Raw genomic sequence first — 23,022 nt, forward strand, 5'->3', positions numbered from 1 at the left:
CTTGTCATCATTGATTACTTTTTACCTATTCTTAGGCTTTATAAAAATTGAATTATATAGTAAGAACTCTTGTGTCTGGCTTCTTTGCTCTAAAAATATTTGAAATACATCCATATCATTGCATGTGTTAAAAATATATTTTATTCTATGAATATGCCATGATTTTTTTTAGTTAGTTATTCTATTGATGGACACCTAGATTATCACTAATTTTAAGCTATTATGAATAAGACTACTATGAATATTCTATGGACATTTTTTTTTTGTGAGACAGAGTCTCGCTCTGTCATCCAGGCTGGAGTGCGGTGGCATGATCTCAGCTCACTGCAACCTCTGCCTCCCAGGTTCAAGCGATTCTCCTGCCTCAGCCTCCTGGGTAGCTGGGATTACAGGTGCCAGCCATCATGCCTGGCTAACTTTTGTATTTTTAGTAGAAACGGGGTTTCACCATCTTGGCCAGGGTGGTCTCGAACTCCTGACCTCAGGTGATCCTCCCATCTCAGCCTCCCAAACTGCTGGGATTACAGGCATGAGCCACCGTGCCCAACTTATGAACATTCTGGTACAAATCATTTTGTAGACCTATATTTTTATTTCTCTTGGGTAAATATTGAGAAATCAATTCCTAAGTCATAGGATAGGTTGCTTTGTTACTGATTTATAGTAATTCTTTATGTATTCTGGATTCAAGTCCTATCTGTGTACATATATGTAATGTATATGTATATGTACATATGCACCTAATTATATGTAATGTATATTTAAGATATGTAATGCAAATATTTCCTCTGAGTCTAGGAGTGCATATTTTTAATTTTAATAGTGTCTTTGGGGAAAATTGTTAAGATTTTGATAAAGTTTAGTATTTAAATTTTTATTGTTAGGGAAAGATCAGTAATTCTTAACTACTTAGTGTCAAAACTAAAAGATTACTTCTAAAGTAAGGGGGTTATTTTGAGTTACATAGCAACAAACTATGGGTGATTTGAATTGATAAAGACAGTGTCACGTTTACTGTTTCTTGCCAATGTTTTAATTGGCTAATTTACTACTTAATGTTATATATAAGAGGAAAAGGTAGAAAAGTTTTTCAATGAGGTAATTATGTAGTATTAGAGACAATGTCTCACAAAATTTCTCTATAGGTAAAAGAAGATATAGTTATTTGCCTAAAAAATATATATATATATGAAATGTATGTATGAACAGTAGAAATGTTTAATCTGTAATATTTCCACTCTACTGTTACTATGACATATGTAGTCTTCTTACTGCAAGGATTAAATTTTCCCACGTATCTAATTTAGAAAATGCAAAAGTACTTTAGGATTTTAAGATTGTTGTATTGTTAGGTTTTAATCTTTCTCTTTCTTTCTTTCTTTCCACAATTCTATTTTGCTTCTCTCGACAGGATTTCACATAAAGCCTTAACATAATATAAGTTGAAACTTACAACCAAGAAAAAATTGATATTATTAACATGTTTACTATGTAAACAGAGTTATTATAGTAAACTTTAAGTTTTGCTCTGAGCTTCCTTTGATCCCTGACCAAAACAAATCATGATAAACATTTGTAATATAAGAGGAATATCACTTTTCTTGGTGTTAGATTTTGAAAAAATTAATGTGGAGTTTATTAGAATGGAATCAAACTGATGCAGTAGTCAGTGACTTCACCACTATTTTACAGTAAAGACAGGAACCGACTTCATACAGCTATTTCTTGTATCGACCTCTCATAAAAGCTGAGGGTATAACATTAAAATGGAGTTCATGGAAAGCTCTTTTATGACCGACTATGATAACGTGGTCCAAGTTATGGAGTCCTCTTGTGGTTTAGCTTCCTCTAAGGAAAGGACTCGTTTCATCTCGTTGCGCGAATGAATGGCTCATTCTTCAACAGCAGTTCCCAAACACCTGCTTGAACACATTAGAGTCACCCAGGAGAGCTAATAATGTGAAAATTTCTGAGCCCAAATCCCAGCTCTGTAGGTCTGAGCTGGGACCCAAAGAAGTCTTTGCTTTAAAAGCTTCTTTAGATATTTCTGATATATAGCCAGGTTTGGAAGCCATTCATAGATAATTTGCCCTGAATTTCATTTCTGTCCGTTGGCCTTTGTATATGGCCTGGTTATTAGAGAAGTTTGTAAAATCTGCATTTGTATTGGACCTAGAGTAAAAATATTGCACAACAAAGGGAGTCAACTTTTAAGAAAGTTATTAACCAAAAACTTCTCTAGAGTAATTAGGTCTCTGGAATATATGCCTAGTGAGAGATAGTTGATGGACTGGTGAAAAACAGAAGTGAAGAGAGGATAAAGGGGAAACAGGACCACTGAATTTAAATTTATGCAGAGATGGTCTTTTAGAAAAGCAGCAAACTTACTCTATGCAGCTTTTCAAGAGCAAAGTTATAGGAGTGATGTGTGAAAGTTACATAAAGGCAGATTTCAGTAAACATTTTTAAAATAATATTCCAATAGTAAGGAATTTTTAACAATAGAGTTGCTATCCCAAGGCTGATGAATTCTCTGTAGTTTTAGGTTTGCCTGCAGTAGAAGCATGAATGCTAATGAACAAGTTAATGACTTTGACAAAAGTGGTGACAAATTTCAGTCTTAGAGTTTGAAACCCTCTGATGTTTTTCTATGTACATGAATCTATAAATAAGTACATGCAAAGTAAATACCAGGGTTAATTAGAACTCTGGAAGTGACACACTGAAGAGCAAGGTGAATATTAGTTATATGTGATAATATAATTAAAATTATTTTACAACCCTCAAGAACACTAAATGACATGACAGTGTATAGACATATTAAAAGTATAATAAACTAAATTTTTAGCCGATAAAATAAATATATTTTAAATGACATTTTAGGAGAAAAAGAGTCAGCCTTTATTATAGTATTAATTCAAGATTCCTATGCTTGATCTTGTTGTTTTTATCTGTATTTGGATATAATTAAATTTTAATTAAAAATTAATTTAAGCAACTTCAAGGAAATAAAATGGTTTAGTAATAAAATAAGAGTTGAGCTTGTGAATCTAATGCTATGGCAACTTATACAGGGCAGAGCTGTATAAAGGCTTTATCAAGATGTTGTTATTTAACCTTCTTACCACATAGAGTTGCTTTGAGGATCAAATGAGTTAATGCATATAAAGAGCTTAAACGAGTCCCTATCATAGTGCTTAATAAATCTAAGTTATTATTATTGCTACTATTATTGATGAATAGAGTGACTTGTTTTTGGTTGGTGATCATAACATTTGTCATGGTACGTGGCACAGAGCAGGTTTCCTGTATTTGTTCATTGATTACATCCAATCACTATGTAAAGATTCGATGTCATAATCATCAGGGTTTCCCAGTGAAGCTGTGGAACACACTACCATTTCATATATTTCCAATGTAGACATTTCTTGAACTTTTTCCCAGTAGTTGGATTGTTGCTATTAAACAAATTCTCTTATGCCTATATAAGAACGTGTGCTTCCTGAAGAAGTTGGTGGTGGATAAATGAGAGTACTCAGTCTGAAATTATTTCTGGAGTTCATTACATTTGAGTTTTGAAAGGACTAAAAATTAAAGGAATGGGAGAAGTGGTCAGGTAATTTGAGGTAAGAAAAGTAGGATACGGAATGGAGATCAAAGTGACAAAATGATGTTCTAAAACTGTGATGTAGATTTACCTGACTTAGGAAATAAGATATAATAGGAATTGTGAATTTTTGGTAGATACAGATTTAATACATGACAGGTAATGGGAGGTGAAGTCTGGAAATGACAGTTCAGGAATAATTAGCTCAGGTGAGGCCATAAAAATGACAGCCCTATCAGGTCAAGGGGGAAGCAGATGTCTTAGAGCATGTTCACCTTTGTCAGTGAGGAGTAAGAAATCCTGTTTGCTAGATTATCTTTTCAAATGCCATACTATTCATCCATTTTTCCCTAAATGTTTGTTCATATTTCCATCAATTTGGATGAAGGGGATGAAAAAGTTATTTACAAGATTTATTTGCTTTTCTCATTCTACATGCAAAAGATAGACAAAGAAGCAATCATATTCCAGTATTAAAGTTGCCATGTAAGTGTCAAATTGATTTGATTTCCTTTTTTTGGTCATATTTTAGGAAAAAGAGGCCTGTGACCTCTTGACAAAATAAAGAAATATTCATTCACAATAGAAAATGAAAGGTGTATATTTCTCATGTGGCACTTTAATATTTTTACAAAAGTAAAAGCCCAGGTAATAACACATTTTCATATCTCATTGGCTCCAGTTTTTCTCTAACTTTCTAGGCAGGTGAATCAGTTGAAAAAATAGTTACAATTAATTGAAAGTAGTGCCTGAAATAGTTCATTAATGCTTTTCCAAGTTCCATTTTCCCATTTTATTTTAGCTATTTAAAATCCACTTAAATCCCACCAAGGAACCATTGTGGGACCTCTCAGTAGATATTTATTCAGCTATTGGGCTCCCAGATGAGGGAGGAAAATGAATGCTTTGTGGGGAAAAGACATACTTACATACATAGAAGTATCTAAAAACATTATTCAAAGAGCTGTGGTTTTGTGATACAAATAGAAAACAGAAAACTCATAGTTGTAAAATAGCTCTGGCAATTATCCTTACAAATGGCATCAATTTCCCCCTCTGCTACCAAATTTCATTTTTTTATCCTTTTTTTTTTTAAAGTGTGGACAACCATTATCTGATAACTATCTCTTACTGTTTTACAACGTTGCAATATGGGAAGGGGATGTGAATTAAAGACTAATGCTTACAACTCGAAATATTCTATTGTAATTTTGTGGCTCCTGCTACATCTTGAATGATAATGAAATAATTTATTTGCTCAACACAAAATACTTCACAGATATCAGGTAATTTTGAAATGATGAACTGTGCTTCTAAGAAGAAACTATGGTATTTCACAAATAAATTTTGTAATTTGGGTGACATTATCCTTTTTAAACTCACAAAGCACCAGTCATAATATATGATATGTGACTATGTGACATGACCAAAAGCATGTGGGATTCGGAGCATGGTTCCAGGCCCACTGTAGGTGCCAGAAATCTTAGCTGGTATTATTAACTGTTGTTTTCCTGTTTTGTTGTTTATTGCTTTTCATATCTAAATAGGTTTACATTTCTTGACATTCATCTTGTTTTACTGAATTTATTTTTTAAGTTAATCAAGACCATTTTTAGTTATTTGCTTCTCTTTGAGAGAGTTAATATACCTGTTTAAGTTGATGTTATTGCCTACTAAACAATCTCTCACCTCTCTCTCAATGAAGTCGGTGATTGTTTCTTATGATGGAGAGACTACACACAGCCTGGCTTGGGACAAAGCCAGCAGGTGAGACTAGTGGTTTTCAATGGGGCACATAAGTTAGCTGTGAGGGGTGCTGGAATTTTTTACTAGTAGAAATGGAAATACTAAAAGCTATAAACAATTTTATCTTTAAGATAACCTATGTTAGTTCCAAGATTATTCCTGTAATACTGTCATTTTCACTTTTTGATCAATATGCTTTCTTTAGTGGAAAATAAAATGACTGGGACTTTTGTTTATACAACTAAAGCCCATGATGATGTTTCACACAGAAGCACCTTCTGTCATGGGTCGTGGAACAAAACAGGCTGAATCTGTGGATCCAGACTATGTTTCCTACCTTGCTGGAAATATTAGATGTCCTTGTAGTTTTTCTCATGTCCTCTCTAATTACTGTAGATTGTCATTCCCAAATTAGTTTTCTTTTTTTAAAAAAACTCACTCTAAATCTAAAAGACTAACCCTTCTAAGCAGGCTTCAGATGTGTTTACCTAAATATTCAAGTAGACATGGGTTAGTGAGAAAGAAAGAGAGTTAGCTAGAGTTAGAAGCCTGGCAGAGTCTGCCCTACCCAGGCCTACCCAAGAGCGCTTCCTGTAGAGAAGCTGGGTACTCAAGAAGAAGTGAAAAAAAAATTTTTTTTTTGCACCCAACAAGCCAAAGAGGAAACTGCCAATTTCTTCCTGCAGAAGACATAGTGACCCCACTAAATAGTGAAAACATAACTATTAGTGAATGATAGGTGGAAAGAGAGAGCCCTCTCAGATGTCTCCCTTCTTCCCCACCTCTGGCACAGGTACAGGTGGGAAAGAAGTATTGAGGCAAAGTTTCTGCCTCTAGGAACTGAGTTAGAAATACGTGAAGAGGTAGAGAAATAATTTTCATTCTCTAAACCTTTCCAAAATGAATCTAATGCAGGATTGTCCTGCATGGATCTTTCTGGAAGAAAATGGAGATGGCCATTATGGTCAAATGAAAGGTGACATTTTGAGAAATAATCCCTTATGTGTTTATTTCATGTAATCTGCCTTTACCTCCTCAGCAACTTTGTTTCGTCACTAAACTCTTCTCCTCTTCTCTCCGTCTTCCCCTTCCTCACCCTACCGCTTGCTTCCACTTCCCCTTCTCTCCTCTCTTTCTGTATCTTTAACTTCTCCCTTTCCCATGGGTAATTACTCACCTAGATTTGTACCCATAAGTAAAAAAGACCATCTTCCCTTCATTATACCCTCTTTTCTCAGTACAGCTTTCATCTATGTTTGTAGCAATTATCTTCATTTTCTCTTTATTTTCACATCACCCTATTTCTCTTCAGCCCACTGCAGTTCCACTTGAGCTTCACCTCTTTCTCCTTCTGGAGAGTTCAAAGCATGATTTCAGACCTCATCTTATTTGATACCTCCCTCTGATACACTGACTATTGCTTCCTCTTCTAGAAATTCCTTACTTCTCAGTGGATAGGTTTTGTTTTGTTTTGTTTTGTTTTGTTATGTTATCATATGGAATGAACAGGTTTTCCTTTGCAGGTTTAGTGGCAGAAAATTTCTGGCATTCTAAGTTTTTCAAAAGTTGTGTTGGATTTGCAGGCAGCACACGGTTTTTGGAGAATGAATGCAGGTTAGTAAGTAGAAAATAAAAGCAAATGGGAGAATGAATATGTAGGGAATGATGGCAGATATAAATCCATAAGTAAGTAAAGTAAGTATTACATTTTAAGAATTGCTGAATGGAGAAATAAACTGATTGTGTTAACAGAAAATAATAGCTTGAGTAAAAAGAGGTTAATTGGACATGTTGCCAAAATCTTGGAGACAATATGAGAAACTTATAGAATCAAGCCTGTTTTTATTCTGGAGATCTAAAGGATGATAAATGGGGTAGACTTCAATGATTAAGAAGACCAGAGACTTTACTTTTTACCTATTATTTTCTTTTCTTATCAGTCTTTGAAAAAATGGATTTCCAAAACTTAAAATCTCTTATTAATCTTTGTAGTGAATCTTTAGTTTATTATCACTTTTATTTTAGACTCCTAGACTTTTCATATTGTTTTGTGAATAATTTCCTGGCCTCTTCAGGGGAAGGTCAACATTTCTCATCACTCACTGTTAAAAATGGCCAGCTGGTTTCCCTTGCCTTATAACTAGGAACCTACTGCACCTATCTTCCATGCCTTTTGAAAGTAAAAATTACTCTGATAAACTCCCGAAGCTTCCCTGAATGCACACTGGTGGTGTAACAGGACCTGATGGTTTGTGATTAGTACATCTGGCTTTTTGAAATGTCAACATTCACTTTTCCCTTATGGTGTAGAATTTTCACTGTTCCATCTTCATCTTATGGATAACAGTCATCACGTTCATTTGTTCACTGATAATTGACATGAATATACAAATTTTTATATAAAATGAGTTTTAAAATAATATTCTTCAGCTTTTCTTCATTTAGAATTTGTGAATGGAAATGAGGTTGCTTTTAAAGACCTCCTTTAAAATATATATTTGAAGATATTTTTATCAATTGCATTCTACTTGTCTTGCAAATGAATCTTTTGTCTTTTCACCTTTATTTTTTTGTATTATAGAAACCCTTTCTCTACGTACCAGATAATTTGTCTTGCATTTCACATTTCATAGTATTCCAGTATTGCCATTGGTCTTAAGGTCACTTTACACTTCTAGTTTAGCCAGCTCAATATTCTGATGTCACCATTGTTCTGCTTTTATGTAATATTTCGTGAATATGGTCTGGTAATACTAGAATAATGTTTAAAGAACATTGAATTATGTAGGATGATTTGAATACTTTCATCAATATACCTATATCAGGAAATCAATGATATTGAAACACGTCTGAGGTTGCTGGACTCTGTAACTTCACAGTTGATGTTTATCAGTTTCCATTCATCTTTTAAGTATTAAAGACAGAGGGCTGCCTGGAATGGTGGAAAGGACATTAGTTTTAATACCAAACCAACCTTGATTAAAATCCTGACTTCTTAAGGTATGAACATTTGCCATTTATCATTGGAAAAATAATTTAACCTCTTAGATCCATACTTTCTTCATCGGCCAAGTAGGAGAATCATATGCCCCGGCAGGGTGGTAAGAAGAATACGTGAGATATGCTGTGAGTATTTTGGTACATGATAGGTATTAAATATGTAGAAGTTCTTCTTATTTTCCTGCTCTCTTTAGAAAAAATCAGAAAAAGAGGATTAATTTTCTCTTTACTATTAAGAAATTTCCCCATATTTAATTACTTTAATGTCTTATTTGATAAAATATTGATACATCAGATGTTAAATAGTATTTCACTGGTTCAAAGCAGTAATTGGATATTAAAGAGTCCTTTCCACTAAATAGGTCATATTCTGTGAAATACTCTTTTTCTTGTGCAGAAAGAGAGTGAACGTTACTCAAACCATATGAACACAAATTTAGTGAAGTTAATCAAATCATAAAACTTTTTGGTTATTTATTTTTATTTTATAAATATTTTATAGAAACTTGCTATAATATGACAAAAACTATTACCTAGAATCTGTTTTAAATCACTGTGTTTTACCATGTTAAATTAGTTACTGAAGCTTGAAATCTATAGATTTTCATTCTTTTTATCTTCTTTATTCATTTAACAAATATGTGGTGAGTTGCTATTACATGTAAGACACTGTTCTAGGCTCTTAGCATATGTCAGTGATCCAAACAGACAAAGATCTCTGATCTTGAGTAGTTCGTATTTCAGCAGTAGGAGACAGTATATCTCAGAAAACAGTAGAGCAACGTGAAGGGTGCATGGAAATATCTGGATGTGGTGAGGGGAGCAGATTGTAGTAGTAAGTAGGATAATTAGGGTAGGAACCATCAAAAACTCGACAATTGAGCAAAGACTTTAAAGAAGTAAGGGGTTTAGTCATACCAGTATTGGGAAGAGCATTCCACACAGCAGGAAAGGTTGGTGCAGAGATTTCAAGGCAGGAAGGTAGATGGAGGGATTAGTGATGGGAGTCCTGATGCTATCCTAAGGACTCTGGCACTTCCTTGTGAGTAAAGTAGGGAACTATTGGGTAGAGGTGGCAGGACCTGATTTATCTTTCAAAAGAGTCACTCTGGCTGTTGTGTTGAGAATAGACTCCAGGAGGAGAACAATAGTAAATGCTGGGTGACCAGTTAAAAATCTATGGTGAGAATTCAAATGAAAGACAATATTGGCTCAGGACAGGGTGGCAATAGTGGAGGGGCTGATAAGTGGTCAAATTCTACATAAATTTAGAAAATACGTCCAGTCTGGTATTAGGACACAGGATGTGAGAGAAAACAAGGAGTCAAGTCTAAAGATTTTCACTTGAACTGCTGGAGAAATGTAGTTATGATCAGCCACGGTGGAGATGGTTGCTGGAGAATCAGGTTTAGGGGAAAAAAAAAATGAAAAGTTCTATTTTGGAAATGCTGATTTTGAGAGGTCTGTTAAATACCCAAGTAAAAATGTTGAGGAGGCAGTTAGATGTTAGAGTTAAGAAGAAAGAATCAGGTAGGAAATAGGAATGTTGCATGTATTTGGGGTACTTTATGGTTAATGTCATGTTGAAGAATGGCATGAAGCACTGAATGGGGGGTGTAGAAGGAAAGGTGGCCAGCTACAGAGCCCCTGAAGTCTCTTCTTGTCTGTTTCTGGTTACTTTTAATCAGTGATCAGCAAATCAGAAAATTGTATATTTGAAAAACATTTCATTTTGTCAACCTCATATTATCTTAACTGCTCCTAAGGTCTCTTAGGACCAATGTGGACCCTACAATAACACTTGGGAAGTAGACACAAACACATGTATTTCCCCAACACTATTTGGAGATAATTGTCTCCATTTATGATAGGAAAATTCAAAAACCGTAACATTAAGAACAGAAATGTAAATGTCCTATAGTCTACTATTTGGCCGCTTCCTGCACAGTAACTAGTTTCCTGACATTAAAGATAAAACCATTTAAAGTTCAAATTCAGATAAAGTTTCACATAAAATAGTGGTGGTTTTTTTTTGGGAGGGAGGGTAGAAGGTAGTGATTGCAGGCACCAAAATGGAAAGTCAAAAGAGAGAAAGTAATTATGTAAATTGTGTTTCTTGAAGGCATTTAGAATTTTTAATTCACATACTCTTAAGTATCTGAAAGCACATTTAGTTCCTGTTTGGAGAGATGAAAGCCTTGCCATAGCTTCATCTGCAGGCTTGTGGCAATGTTAGTTTCTCCCGTGTGTACGTGCACTGAAGAGTGGAAGTGGCTGAGTGGGCAGTTGGCAACCATTCATCGCATTGATTGCAGTCATTCATAAAACCCAGCAGCGCTGAGGGCGGAGTCAGGAGGAGCATTCCCCTGAGGCGGTTGCAGAATGTCTTATTTGCATAAATCTTCAGTGATGCTTCAGTGATGAGGGAATGCTCACATGCAGTTAGAAGACTGTCGAAGAGCCCCAATCTGATAAATCTGAGTAATTAAAGACTTTGCAAAAAATAAGAGGTCAAACTCTTTGAATTCCTAGTCCTTCAATCCGTGGTAATTCTGGGAAGTCAGCATTGTGGCAGCTTTTGTGGTCTCCTTATGTCGGGCTGAAGGAGTGAATTACAGAGACAGACCCCTTAAAAGCTGCAACATACTGAAATATCATTGTTGTGTCTCTTAAAGTATTAGGGGTTTATATTATTATACCAAGTCTAATGCATAGGAGATAGTGGAAATTGCTGAGGTTACACAGTTTCCATATGTTAAAACGGTCAAAACTATTAAGGTTTTATCCTTCCAAACTATGATCCAATTCAATTATAATTTTAAAGAAATGGTAATCCACACAAGCAAACAAAAATCTTGTGATTAGAAGCCCCCGAAATTGGGTAAATGATTAGCAACCTGAAACAATTAGTTTCCTCCCTTCAAAATGCAGATTCAATAGCTAGCTACATTGCTCTATTCTTGAATATTTGTCCTGTGGCCAGGATATATCTTATTATGGAAAATGTGTTGTTTTCCTGTTATATTCAGATTAATTCTAAATATATTGCTTTTGAATATTAATGTGTTTATTTTTATTATTCAATAAAACTTTAAAATTCAAAAAATTGAATGAAGTTTTTATCAGAAAGATTCTATAACATACATAGACAGAAACAGTATATTAACTTGAAATTTTAAACCAAAACCACTGGGACTTGAGATTAGACAAGAATTTTCTTACAAAGATAGGGCCCTTTTTAAATTGTTATTTTGTTTTATTTTTTTATTTGAGTTGGAGTCTAACTCTGTCGCCCAGGCTGGAGTGCAGTGGCACGATCTCAGCTCATTGCAACCTCTGCCTCCCAGTTTAAGCAGTTCTCCTGCCTCAGCCTTCTGAATAGCTGGGACTACAGGCATACCCCACACACCCGGCTAAATTTTGTATTTTTTTAGTAGAGATGGGGTTTCACCATGTTGGCCAGTCTGGTCTCAAACTCTTGACCTCAACTGATCCACTGGCCTCAGCCTTCCGAAGTGCTGGATTACAGGCGTGAGCCACCATGCCCAGCAGATAGGGCCTTTTAGTCAGAAAAAAAAATGTTTGCTTACAAACCTATCTTTAGTGTTGCTTAATACCTTATATTTGTTAGAAAATAGTTACTTCAGCACATATTTTTAAAAACTCTTAAGTAGTAGATTTGTTTTATTTGAAAGCTTTGTATGAATACCTAAGACTTGAGGGGAAAAAAAGAGATGAATTAAGATTTCTCATAGATTTAATTCTTTAGAATTTTTCCAAGTTGGTGATATTCCAGATATTTTCACAAATCAGTGCATGTAGATTAAAAATGCTGCGGCCAGGCGCAGTGGCTCACGCCTGTAGTCCCAGCACTTTGGGAGGCCAAGGCGGGTGGATCACGAGGTCAGGAGATCGAGACCATCCTGGCTAACATGGTGAAACCCCGTCTCTACTAAAAATACAAAAAATTAACCAGGCGTGGTGGTGGGCGCCTGTAGTCCCAGCTACTCAGGAGGCTGAGGCAGGAGAATGACGTGAACCTGGGAGATGGAGCTTGCAGTGAGTAGAGATTGCACCACTGCACTCCATCCTGGGCAACAGAGCGAGACTCCATCTCAAAAAAAGAAAAAAAAAATGCTGCATCTGCTATTTTTAGTTAAGTGAGAATTGCTAAAGATTTTCGAATGCTTTGAAGTTTAACTTGCTGGACATTTTAGCTTGTGTAAGTTATATTAAAATTTCAGAGCTCAGAAATCCTAGGACATTACACTTCCCTAGCAACTGCATTCCTGAATGTTTTGAAGGCTGATGCATGATTGGCCTTCTCCCACCACACCGGGGAAAGAACACAAGGCTTTGTGGTTTCTGTGGATGTTGTTGACTCACATCTCTTGACCAATTCATCGAAAGTTTAGCATCAACTCTTGATGAACACCACTTTTTAAAACTTTTATGCAAAGGGAAGGTGTGTTGAGGTTTTGAAATAGCACCGTTTTCTTTTCTTGTCATGTAACATATTGATTTCGGCATCTTACTGACCTTGTTTGGAATGAGCAGTGTGTGTGTGCACGTTTCTGTGTGTTGTGTCCATGTTTTCCTGTATTATTTCTTTCAGAAGTGGAGAAATTTGCCATGCAGCCTTAAGCTCTGGGAAAACAGTTTATCTACCACTGCCTCACCAGTGATCCACTTCTGGAATAATATGACTGGCCTTAAATATGAGCAGGGTAGTCAAATCTCCAAGAAGCCTCCATGAAAGCTCTTAAGAACCAGATTCATATTTGAAGCCTTCTGGATCCTAAGGGGCATTCTGTTTAGCAAAGACTAAGATGTGAGGTCTAAGTTTTATAACCAAGCCTTCTCTATTCAAAGCCATGTTTATTTTAAAGCTTTTGAGAAGAAGGAATATCTGGGCCATCCATGTTCATCCTCAGATGGAGGTGTTTTCTGATTTCTGCCAATAAATGTCACCAGTGCTCTGTAAGCCCTGTTTTCATGAAAGTAGGAGTATCTCCTCCTGCTGCCCTTTGGAGCTTTGTTATATTGTCTACCATCTGCATTTATTTTGTGATGCATGACTTAAGGCACAAAGACATTTAATTACTTTTTTTCACATTTTGGAGGTATCTTTTCTTCTTTTACACACACACACACACTCTTTATATATGAACATTTCTTTGATCTTTTCCTCCCCTCCTAGCATGAGGAAATTTTGAACAAGGGGGATGCCTTGAGGCCTCTCAGATCTTTTTGCATAAACAGAAAGACCTGTGTGGTGATTGATGGTGTGAAAGAAAAGTCTGTATTTTTTAGTAAAATAGCAAAAGTCACAGAATATCCTGCTCAAAATTTAACATATCAACGCAACAGCTGTTCCTATTTTTAAGCTTTCAGACATCTTCATATGGTCATGCCAAAGCTTTCAGTAGCTTTTCTGCTATGGGAAAAGCTGCTGACAATCATGTTATTGATGCTAAAAGGAAAGTCAAATACAGAGGCTAGCACAGATTTTATTCGGGTATAATTGAGCTTTTGGAAGCCTGAGTCAAAGGTTTCCAACTCCAAGGGCTTTGCTGGGGCCCCAAGGTTAATGTTGAAGGGGCTTTCAAAGACTTTCCCTTAGAGTGTTTTTCAGTACCGTGTTTAATTTCTAGATGTGTTCTACCCTTTTTATAATTAATAGTGCGTTGTGCTGTCTATCATGCGCCCCAGGTGTGTTGTCAGGGACATGGCGAAGCCTGCTGCCTGCAAAACACCAAGAAATGCTGAAAACCAGCCCCACCAACCTTCACCGTGAGTATGGCATTGGTTTTATTGACTGAAAATGTCGTCTCTTACACAGATCATGGTTACAGATTTATTCACATTGCATGTGAGAGTAGATACTCTGGCTGCTCTTGTATATGTAACAAAAAGGCTACTGTTGAATTAGATAAAATTAGCTGAGCTCTGGATTTAATATTTTTGTTAAGTGATGTTTCTAATACCATATTGAAAGGATTAAACTAGTTGAAGAAAAGGGACAGTTTTCTTAGGGCTCTAAAATGACAGCAATTCTTTTTTGTTTGTTTGATTGTTTTAGATTTGGAATGTGTATGAGCTGGAATATAACACCTCAGAGAAGTATGGAGGCAAGATACAGACAGGGTGCTGAGTGGGGGCCAGTGTGTTTAAGGGAAATGCATAGGTAGTCCATTATCTAACCCTCAACATATATTATTTAAAGGTAACTGACAATTTTTAAAAGTTGATTGTCGGCTGGGCACGGTGGCTCATGCCCGTAATCCCAGCACTTTTGAAGGCTGAGGCGGGTGGATCACCTGAGGTATGGAGTTTGGGACCAGCCTGGCCAATATGGTGAAACCCCGTCTCTACTAAAAATACAAAAATTAGCTGGGCGTGGTAGTGGGCATCTGTAATCCCAGCTACTTGGGAGGCTGAGGCAGGAAAATCACCTGAACCTGTGAGGTGGAGGCTGCCGTAAGCCAAGATCGTGCCACTGTACTCCAGCCTGGGTGACAGAGTGAGACCCTGTCTCAAAACAAAAACAAAAACAAAAACAAAAGTGGATTGTCCATCTAGTTTCATTTTTATTATTGAATTCTTAAGTGTAGATCCTAATGATTAATTAAATGACCAACAGAAAGAGTTTCATTCACATTTGAAACTCAGAGTTGACTGATTTGATTTCTTCTCTACTCCCTGCTTTACCCTTTATTTGGTCATTGAAATGCTTATATTTTGTATATTACATACAGTAACATATCATTTAAAATTATTTATGTTTTAGGATATGAAATGTGGTAAATTTCAGGAGGCTTAATAGGTGTTATAGGTTTTACCCCAATAAGTATACTTGAATATCATCTTCCACATTTAATCAGTATTTTCCAAGAAATAAAAATAGTTTTGAATTAGCAATAGTAAAAATGATTGATAATTACATTTTAAAAAGTACAAACTTGGAAGAAGTACTTTAAATGATGTTGTCATTTTTCTTTTGCCTATAGATATTCTGACTGTATGTAAAGCCATTTTTGTATGATGGAACTTTTTGGATAATTCATAGAAAACTTACATCCCCAGTTTTCATCTTATATTCTAGGAATTAGAAAACATTTTATTTATTTTAGAATTCAAATTCTTTGAGGAATTAACATTGATTTTAAAATCTCTTTATATTCCACGTATCGAGGTTTCATTTTAATTGGTCTCACCTATTCCAAAGTTCATTTTAAATTACACATTATTAGATATGAACTAGCATTTGCCATCCTCCAAAACAAGACATTAGATAATTTTTCTCTTACTTTGTTTTCACTTTCACAGTTGTAGAAATCTGTCGTCACTTTAATTGCACCTTGTGGAAACTTCCCTGTGGCTCTTTGAGTTTAGTGGCCGAGAAGAAGCAACTATAGATTCTTTGGATCCTGCTTTTTGACAGTCTCTTTGCTCACTCAATTCTTTTCTGTTTAAAATAATGAACTTCTCTGCCAGTGACTTGAAGAATTTAAAGTTTGCTTTCATTCCTTATGATAGCTGATTCTCTGTAGAGAGTAATGTTTGTGAATGGAACTCTCCATAGCCACATAAATCCCTTTTTAGGTTAACATGGAAAGGACAAAAATAAATTGGGAGGGGGTAATTGAGGACAGGCTTTAGCTTATAGATCAGTATTTTTAAATTTGTAATTTATGATTTTCAGTGGGTCTGAAAATCAATAGAGGCTAGTGACCAGACCTCTTTTAATATTTTTTTTAAAAATAAAAGATAATAGAAAATATGAGTGCCCCCCAGGTTAGTATTTTAGGACAGAACTTAGATTTCTCTATATGGTAACTGTGTCAAAATATAAAATTTAATAAACATTGCAGTTATGAGGATTGCATTAATGGGTTTTAATTAGAGGAATGGCATAATCAGATTTGCTTTATCAGTGGATGTGTGTGTATAGATAATATGTATTATTTGCTTTGAGAGAAGTAGGGAAAATGGACTATGAATGTGAAGTGGGCAAAACTAGAGACAAGTAAATCAATTAACAAACTATTGCAATAGGTCAGGGAAAGATAATAAGGTCTCAACTTAGAGGAAGGAGTAGTAGAGGTTATGAGAAGGAGACATTTCAAGAGCTAAGTGAGAAGTAAAATGGGCAATGCTTGATTGCCAATTGAATATGGGTTTTAAGGAAAGAGTTTAGGGGGATTACCATATTAATGGCTTGGGTGACTAAGAGCCACTACCAAGAAGTTGAATTAAAGCTGTAAACCAAATCTAGGCATAGATGGTGTATTAGCCTGTTTTCATGCTACTGATAAAGACATACCTGAGACTGGGCATTTTACAAAATAAAGAGGTTTATTGGACTTACAGTTCCACATGGCTGGGGAGGTCTCACAATCATGCTGGAAGGTGAAAGGCACATCTCACATGGCAGCAGACAAGAGAAGAGCTTGTGCAGGGAAACTCCCCCTCATGTTATCATCAGATCTCATGAAACTTATTCACTATCATGAGAACAGCATGGGAAAGACCTGCCCTCATGATTCAATTACCTCCCACTGGGTCCCTCCGCCAATACATGGGAATTCAAGATGAGATTTGGGTTGGGAACACACCCAAACCATATCAGATGGACAGTGGTGAGTTCAGATTTTCATATAGTGATTTTGTAATACCTGTAAGTTATCCAAGCATATATATCTAACAAGAGGTTGGCTCTGTTAACCTTTAGCACTCAGTTAACTGGGGAAATAGATGACATCACCACAGGATACATAGAAAAAAAAATAAGAGCGAGCCCTAGGTAAAAGCAATGTTTAAGGAATGAGTAAAGTATGAGGGTCCCCCAACTCAGCCAAGAAGTAGTAAAGAACCAGAAGCCAAGGTAGTAGAGGGATTCAAGGGGAATGCCCAACAGTGTTAAATGCAGCAGAAAATCAAGAAATAAGGGATGAAAAGTGTGCTTTGGTTTTCGTCATATAGAGGCCATTGGTGGCATTTACCATAGCATTTTCAATATATAAGTGGGTGGAAATGCTGTACTTCTGTAGGCTTGAGGAGGAAATGAGAAGTCAGGAAAAGGAGAGGGTAAATGTACATGACTTTCTCTAAAAGCTCAACCGAGTAGGGAAAAAGAAAAAGAGTAGTTGGTAGAGAGACAGGAAGCAGGGTGATAGTACTCATATCACTTGGTGTATTCTATTATGCAAGTCTAGACTGATGGATACACATGTCAATATACTTTATATTTTTGATAACTATGTACATAAACTATCCAAATGTTCCTTTTAAGTTATTGTTAAAATGTCACTCAGTCATATTTTAAGCATGCTGCCTGAGTTGTCATCACTTAATCAAAGTAATAAATATATCAAGATATTACTGGAGTTCAATGAATTGAGTCATATGCCTGCTATTCCTTGGGTATAAGATAGAAAAATGAGATATATAAATGAGATAGAATCTTTTTCTTAAGAGTTTCTTCTCAAGTTGGGGGAGGAGAAGATAGATAATCAAATAAATTATAATACTGAATAATAAATACAATACTAAAATGCGTTTAAAAAGAGAAAATGATTTATTCTGTTTGGGCTTGATGTGGTCAGGGAAGGATTTACAGAGCTGCAACAGTAATACGGATTTTTTGTTTGTTTGTTTTTTGAGACGGAGTCTTGCTCTGCCACCCAGGCTGGAGTGCAGTGGCATAATCTCAGCTCACTGCAACCTCTGCCTCCCGGGTTCAAGTGATTCTTCTGCCTCCCAAGTAGCTGGGATTACAGGCATGCGCCACCACACCCAGCTACTTTTTGTATTTTTAGTAGAGACAGGGTTTCACCATGTTGGTCAGGCTGGTCTTGAACTCCTGACTTCGTGATCCGCCCACCTTGGCCTCCCAAAGTGCTGGGATTACAGGTGTGAGCCACTGCGCCCGGACAGTAATATGGATTTTAAAGACTGAATAGTTTAGTAGGTATGTAAATTTAGGTACCATCTTCCAGAAGCAGAAAACAATTACCCTGAGACCCAGAACATCAGGTTGTGCTGGGGTAATTTAAACCATATACTGACTACTGGAATCTGTATGCATTGTATTTTTCTTATTTGGTCTTAAGGTCTCTCTCAACAGTGGCTATAAACTCTAGCCCTGTGTCAATGGGGCTCCGGGTGGGTGGTCATGGATGTTTACAGTGTGCCTTTCATGGAATAGTTCTTCATCTTTGTGAACGGCCTAATGCTAAAGTGACTGACCTGTGACCAAATGCCCCTCTCAAAGGAAACTTGTTCATAATGGCAGATACCCCTGTGGCTCTTAACTGACCTGTGTCCAGTTTATTCCTACCAAGATGTCAGGAGAGTTGTCCAGGAGAGCCCTGGCTAGGAGGAGAGTTAGGTTCAGGTGTGTCAGTCAAGTGAGACACAGAGGAGGCAACACAATAAAACACATGAAATAACAGAAGCAGTGTGTCACTGATAGATCCTAGCGAGAAGGGGCCGGCATACCTCCAAGGGCCAATAGGAAGCTGGGAGCTGTCTTAGAAATACACGTGCAACTAGCTAGTGGAGAGCAAGAGAGAGAGAGTGAGGGACTCATAGGCCAGAGCCTTTACTGGTGTCCAGGCTCTTACCCACGCAGGTTTTCCTCATGGAGTTCTAATTGGTCAGTGTAGATAGAGCAAGGGGGCACTAGCTCAGTGGAGTCATGCTGTACTGAGAGGTGGTCCCTGTGGCATATCTGGGGAGGTGTTGGGGGTCAGTGGGCAAATCACATATCTTGTAACTAGCTGTCCCATGGGAAGTTGTTTCACCAGGAGGCAGTTGTATGAGGTAGATCTGGATTGATCACCTTAAGGAACAGGGAGGAGGCAGAGAACTGGCAGCTGTGCCAATGGTTGCTAAACTCTGCTTCTGGTATGAGAACGTTCAATTTATATTTAAAATGGATGCCAAGGTAACATAAAATTATAGGAATTCACTGCAGTGTGTGTGTATGTGTGTATGTGGTTTCGTGGGTGGGTGGGAATTTGTGTGTGGGCATGCGTATAGGTGTAAGTGTGTTAAAGAGGGAGAAAGATCAGAGGCAGGAAGTGCTGCATCAGAAGAATAGGACAGTTATCTAATTTGGAGAAAATAAGCAACTCGTACCTTGGCTTTGGTTTTACTTTTAATACTGCGTTTTATTTTGAAATTTGATTTAAAATAATCTTTTTTGTGTGTTTTTCAGAGTTATCATGGATTTAAAAAGTCCGAGAAAGACTTGGCTACTCTTCAGTCTCAGGCACATATGTTAGGGGGACCAGGTAGGAGAGGCAGGAGGTAGAGAAGATTTGAGAAAATTTCATGTGTGGTATAATTAGAATATAGTGATTCATTAGATGTGATAAGAAAACAAAGGAGGCAAGATAAGTCATTTTAGCTCAAGAGATTAAATGGATATGATAAAATCAAGAAGAGAGCTAATTTAGGCACTAAGGCAGGTTTACACACAGCATTAGATTCGAGTATTAGTAGCCAAGGAAATCTCCAATTGCAACACTCAGAAAACAGTTGGCTATTCTATTTCAAACTCAGGAGAGACTTAGAAAAGATACATTAATTTGTAAGCAATTACCTTATAACATAAACCATTAAAACAAGTGAAATAGCATTGGGAGGAGGTGTAGAGATAAAAGGAAGGAATATAAACGGGTGATGGGTGCACCAGGTTCTCACAAATCTCCACCTAAAGAACTTACTCATGTAACCCAAATACCACCTGTACCCCAATAACTTATGGAAAAATAAAATTTTTTAAAAAGCCAGACACCAGTGATATCGAGACATAAGTGTTATGTCATTGTTTTGCATAGACTAGGTGATAAACATCATGTTATTAAAAATTCTGTCAATATATAAACATTTCATATATACAAAAAATAAACAATCTATAGTGGGTATAACCAGTACTTAAACGAGGATTGGAGGACTTAAGAAAATTATGCAATGTCATGCAAAAACAAACTTGTCCCGGTTTTTCTGGAACTTTCCGTATTTTAGCACTAAAACTCCCATGTCCTGAGAACTTCTGTTAGACCTGGGCAGACTGAATGGTTGGTCACCCTAGAACTAATAAAGTTAGAATTTGAAGGTGAAAATCCAGAAAGAGAATATGATAGCCAAGGAAAAACTATGCTTAGCCAAATTATGTTTGCTTTTCTGTGGAAGGTGACATTATCAGGAGTAAATTGAATCATGGTACATGAATCAGTAAATTCTGATGTTTTGTTTTGTTTGTAGTTTTTGCTGGTGATTACCTGTTTTTAAAAAATTGAGATACAATGCACATACCATACAATTCACCTTTTTAAAGAGTACAATTTAGTGGTTTTCAAAAAGCTGTGCAGCCATCATCACTATGTAATTCAGGAATGTTTTCATCACCCTGAAAAAGAAATTTCATACCTTTTAGCTTTCATTACCCCATTCTCCTCAAAATACAGCATCTGAAACCATTACTTTCTATATTTATGAGTGTGCCTATTCTGAACATTTCCTATAAATGGAATCATATTATATGTGTCTGTTTATATCTGGCTTTTTTCATTTAGCATAATGTTTTCTAGACTCAGAGCTTGTATCTGTACTTTATCCCTTTTATTGCCCAGTGATTGTATCGACATATCAGGTTTTGTTTATTCATCCATCAGTTAATGGACATTTGGATTGTTTCTACTTTTTGACTATATTATTAATAATATTGCTATTAGCATTTAGGTACAAGTTTTTGGGGATATGGATGTTCTCAATTCTCTTGAGTATATACCTAGGAATAAAATTGCTGGGTCATATGGTAACTGTATGTTTAACTTTTTGAGGACCTGCTAAGCTGTATTTCAAAGTAGCTGCATTATTTTACATTCCTATCAATAAGAGAATTCCAATTTCCCTAAATTCTTGTTAACACTTGTTATTGTCTGTCTTTTATATTATGGACATCCCAGTGGGTATAAAGTAGTGTCTTACTGTGGTTTTCATTTGTGTTTCCCTAGTGAATAATGATATTGATGAACTTTTCATGGGCTTATTGGCTATTTCTATATCTTCTTTGGAGAAATATCTATCAAAATATTTTCTTCCGTTTTAAGAATAAAATTGGGTTTTCTCTAAGGATGATCTTTCAAAATATGTGTTATTTGTCTTTTTTATTTTTGAGTTATAAGTGTTCTTCACATGTAATGGATAGAAGATCTTTGTCACAGAAATGATTTGCAATATTGTCTCCCATTTAGTGAATAGTCTTTTCATTTTCTTGATAGTACTTTTGAAGCACAAGTTTTTAATTTTGATGAAGTCTAATTGATCTATTTTTTCTTTGGTTATTTGTGGTTTTGGTCTTGCATCCAGGAAATCATTCTCATATCAAATGCCATTAAGATTTCCCCCTGTGTTTTCTTCTGAGAGTTTTATACTTTTAGATCTTACATTTAGGTCTTTGATTCATTTTGAGATAGTTTTTATATATGATGTATGTGTTTTTATACATGTGTTTGTGTGTATACTTTTCCCATAGCAGATTAGGAAATATATATTTTTATGCTTGAAAATATGATTTCTTATTTATAATCACATCTCAGATTTATGTCTTACATCAATTAAAAGATTAAACAAAAGTGTGAATGGGTCTTTGATATTGTGAATAGTTGGATAAAAGCTCTTGTCATTATTTCTCTATGACTTTAAGCTCTGCATACTAGACATGATCTTCAGACTGCGTGGTCTAATGTTCACAACTCTGTGTCCTACAATAGCGGATGGCAGAAATGTCAGGGACAACACAAAAGAATGGATAATCCACTTGTAGACTGTTACCACCTCAGACACATCCCCATCATGAATATAATTTCTCTCAATGTCTGGGAAAGACCCTATAAACATTGGAAACTGGCCCACCTTTCTCTGTTTTGGGAGCTCTTGCACCCTTGCTGCTGCTGAGCCATGTGGTCTTTCCTTCACTGCTAAAACAGCTTTGGCTGAGAAGATAGCGTTAAAAGGAAGAGAAATGAATTTCTTCAACAGGTGGAAGAGTATGCAGTAGAGGAAACAATTCACTGCTTTTATGCAATGAATTGGCCTATTTATTCTCTCTTCAACAAATATTTAGTTTGTACTGTGTGCATAACATATTGCCAGGCCCTGGATATTATCATGAACAAAGCAGAGTCTTTGTCCTTGTAAAGCTTGGAGTATGGGAGGAGACAATCTAAACAACAAACAAAAATAGATGATAAAACCCTTCTCTTTTAACAAAGGCCTAACCTGAATGCAATGAAAGAGAGCTACACTGGGAAAACTATTTAGAAAGACTGCTCAAGGAAGGCTCTAAGAGGAGGTGACATTTAAAAAGAGACTTGAAAGATAGAAATCAGCCCTGTAAAGAGCCAGGAAAAGGGAATTCCAGGCAGAAAGGATGATGGTATGTGAAATGGTCCTTATGTGGAAAACAGAGTATCATGTTTAGGGAAGTAAAGAAGCCCAGAGAAAGCAAGTGAGTAGAAAGAGGGCAATGGCTGAGACAAGCAAGGGTTCCATCCTAGAGCTCTTGTGGGTCTTTGGATTTTATCTAAGACTTATATTGAGAAACCCTTAAAGCACTTTAAAGAAGGGGGAATCATGATCCAGTGTTGCGTAGC

At 36.2% G+C, this 23,022-nt stretch overlaps 1 protein-coding gene across 25 annotated transcripts in view; it reads left to right on the forward strand.

Annotated features, from left to right (window-relative positions):
* RIMS1 (regulating synaptic membrane exocytosis 1) overlaps positions 1 to 23,022 on the forward strand; it is a 516,596-nt gene that overhangs the window by 68,368 nt on the left and 425,206 nt on the right. For 19 of the 25 annotated variants that reach the window (NM_014989.7, XM_017010517.3, XM_047418419.1 and 16 more), the window contains exon 2: positions 14,066 to 14,146. The exons of the other annotated variants lie outside the window; for them this stretch is intronic. In NM_014989.7, coding sequence (NP_055804.2) covers positions 14,066 to 14,146 — 81 coding nt within the window. The remainder of the gene's footprint in view (positions 1 to 14,065; positions 14,147 to 23,022) is intronic. 25 annotated transcript variants of the gene reach the window in all.

Source organism: Homo sapiens, chromosome 6 (genome assembly GCF_000001405.40).
Source record: "Homo sapiens chromosome 6, GRCh38.p14 Primary Assembly".
In the NCBI taxonomy this organism is placed as follows: Eukaryota; Metazoa; Chordata; class Mammalia; order Primates; family Hominidae; genus Homo; species Homo sapiens.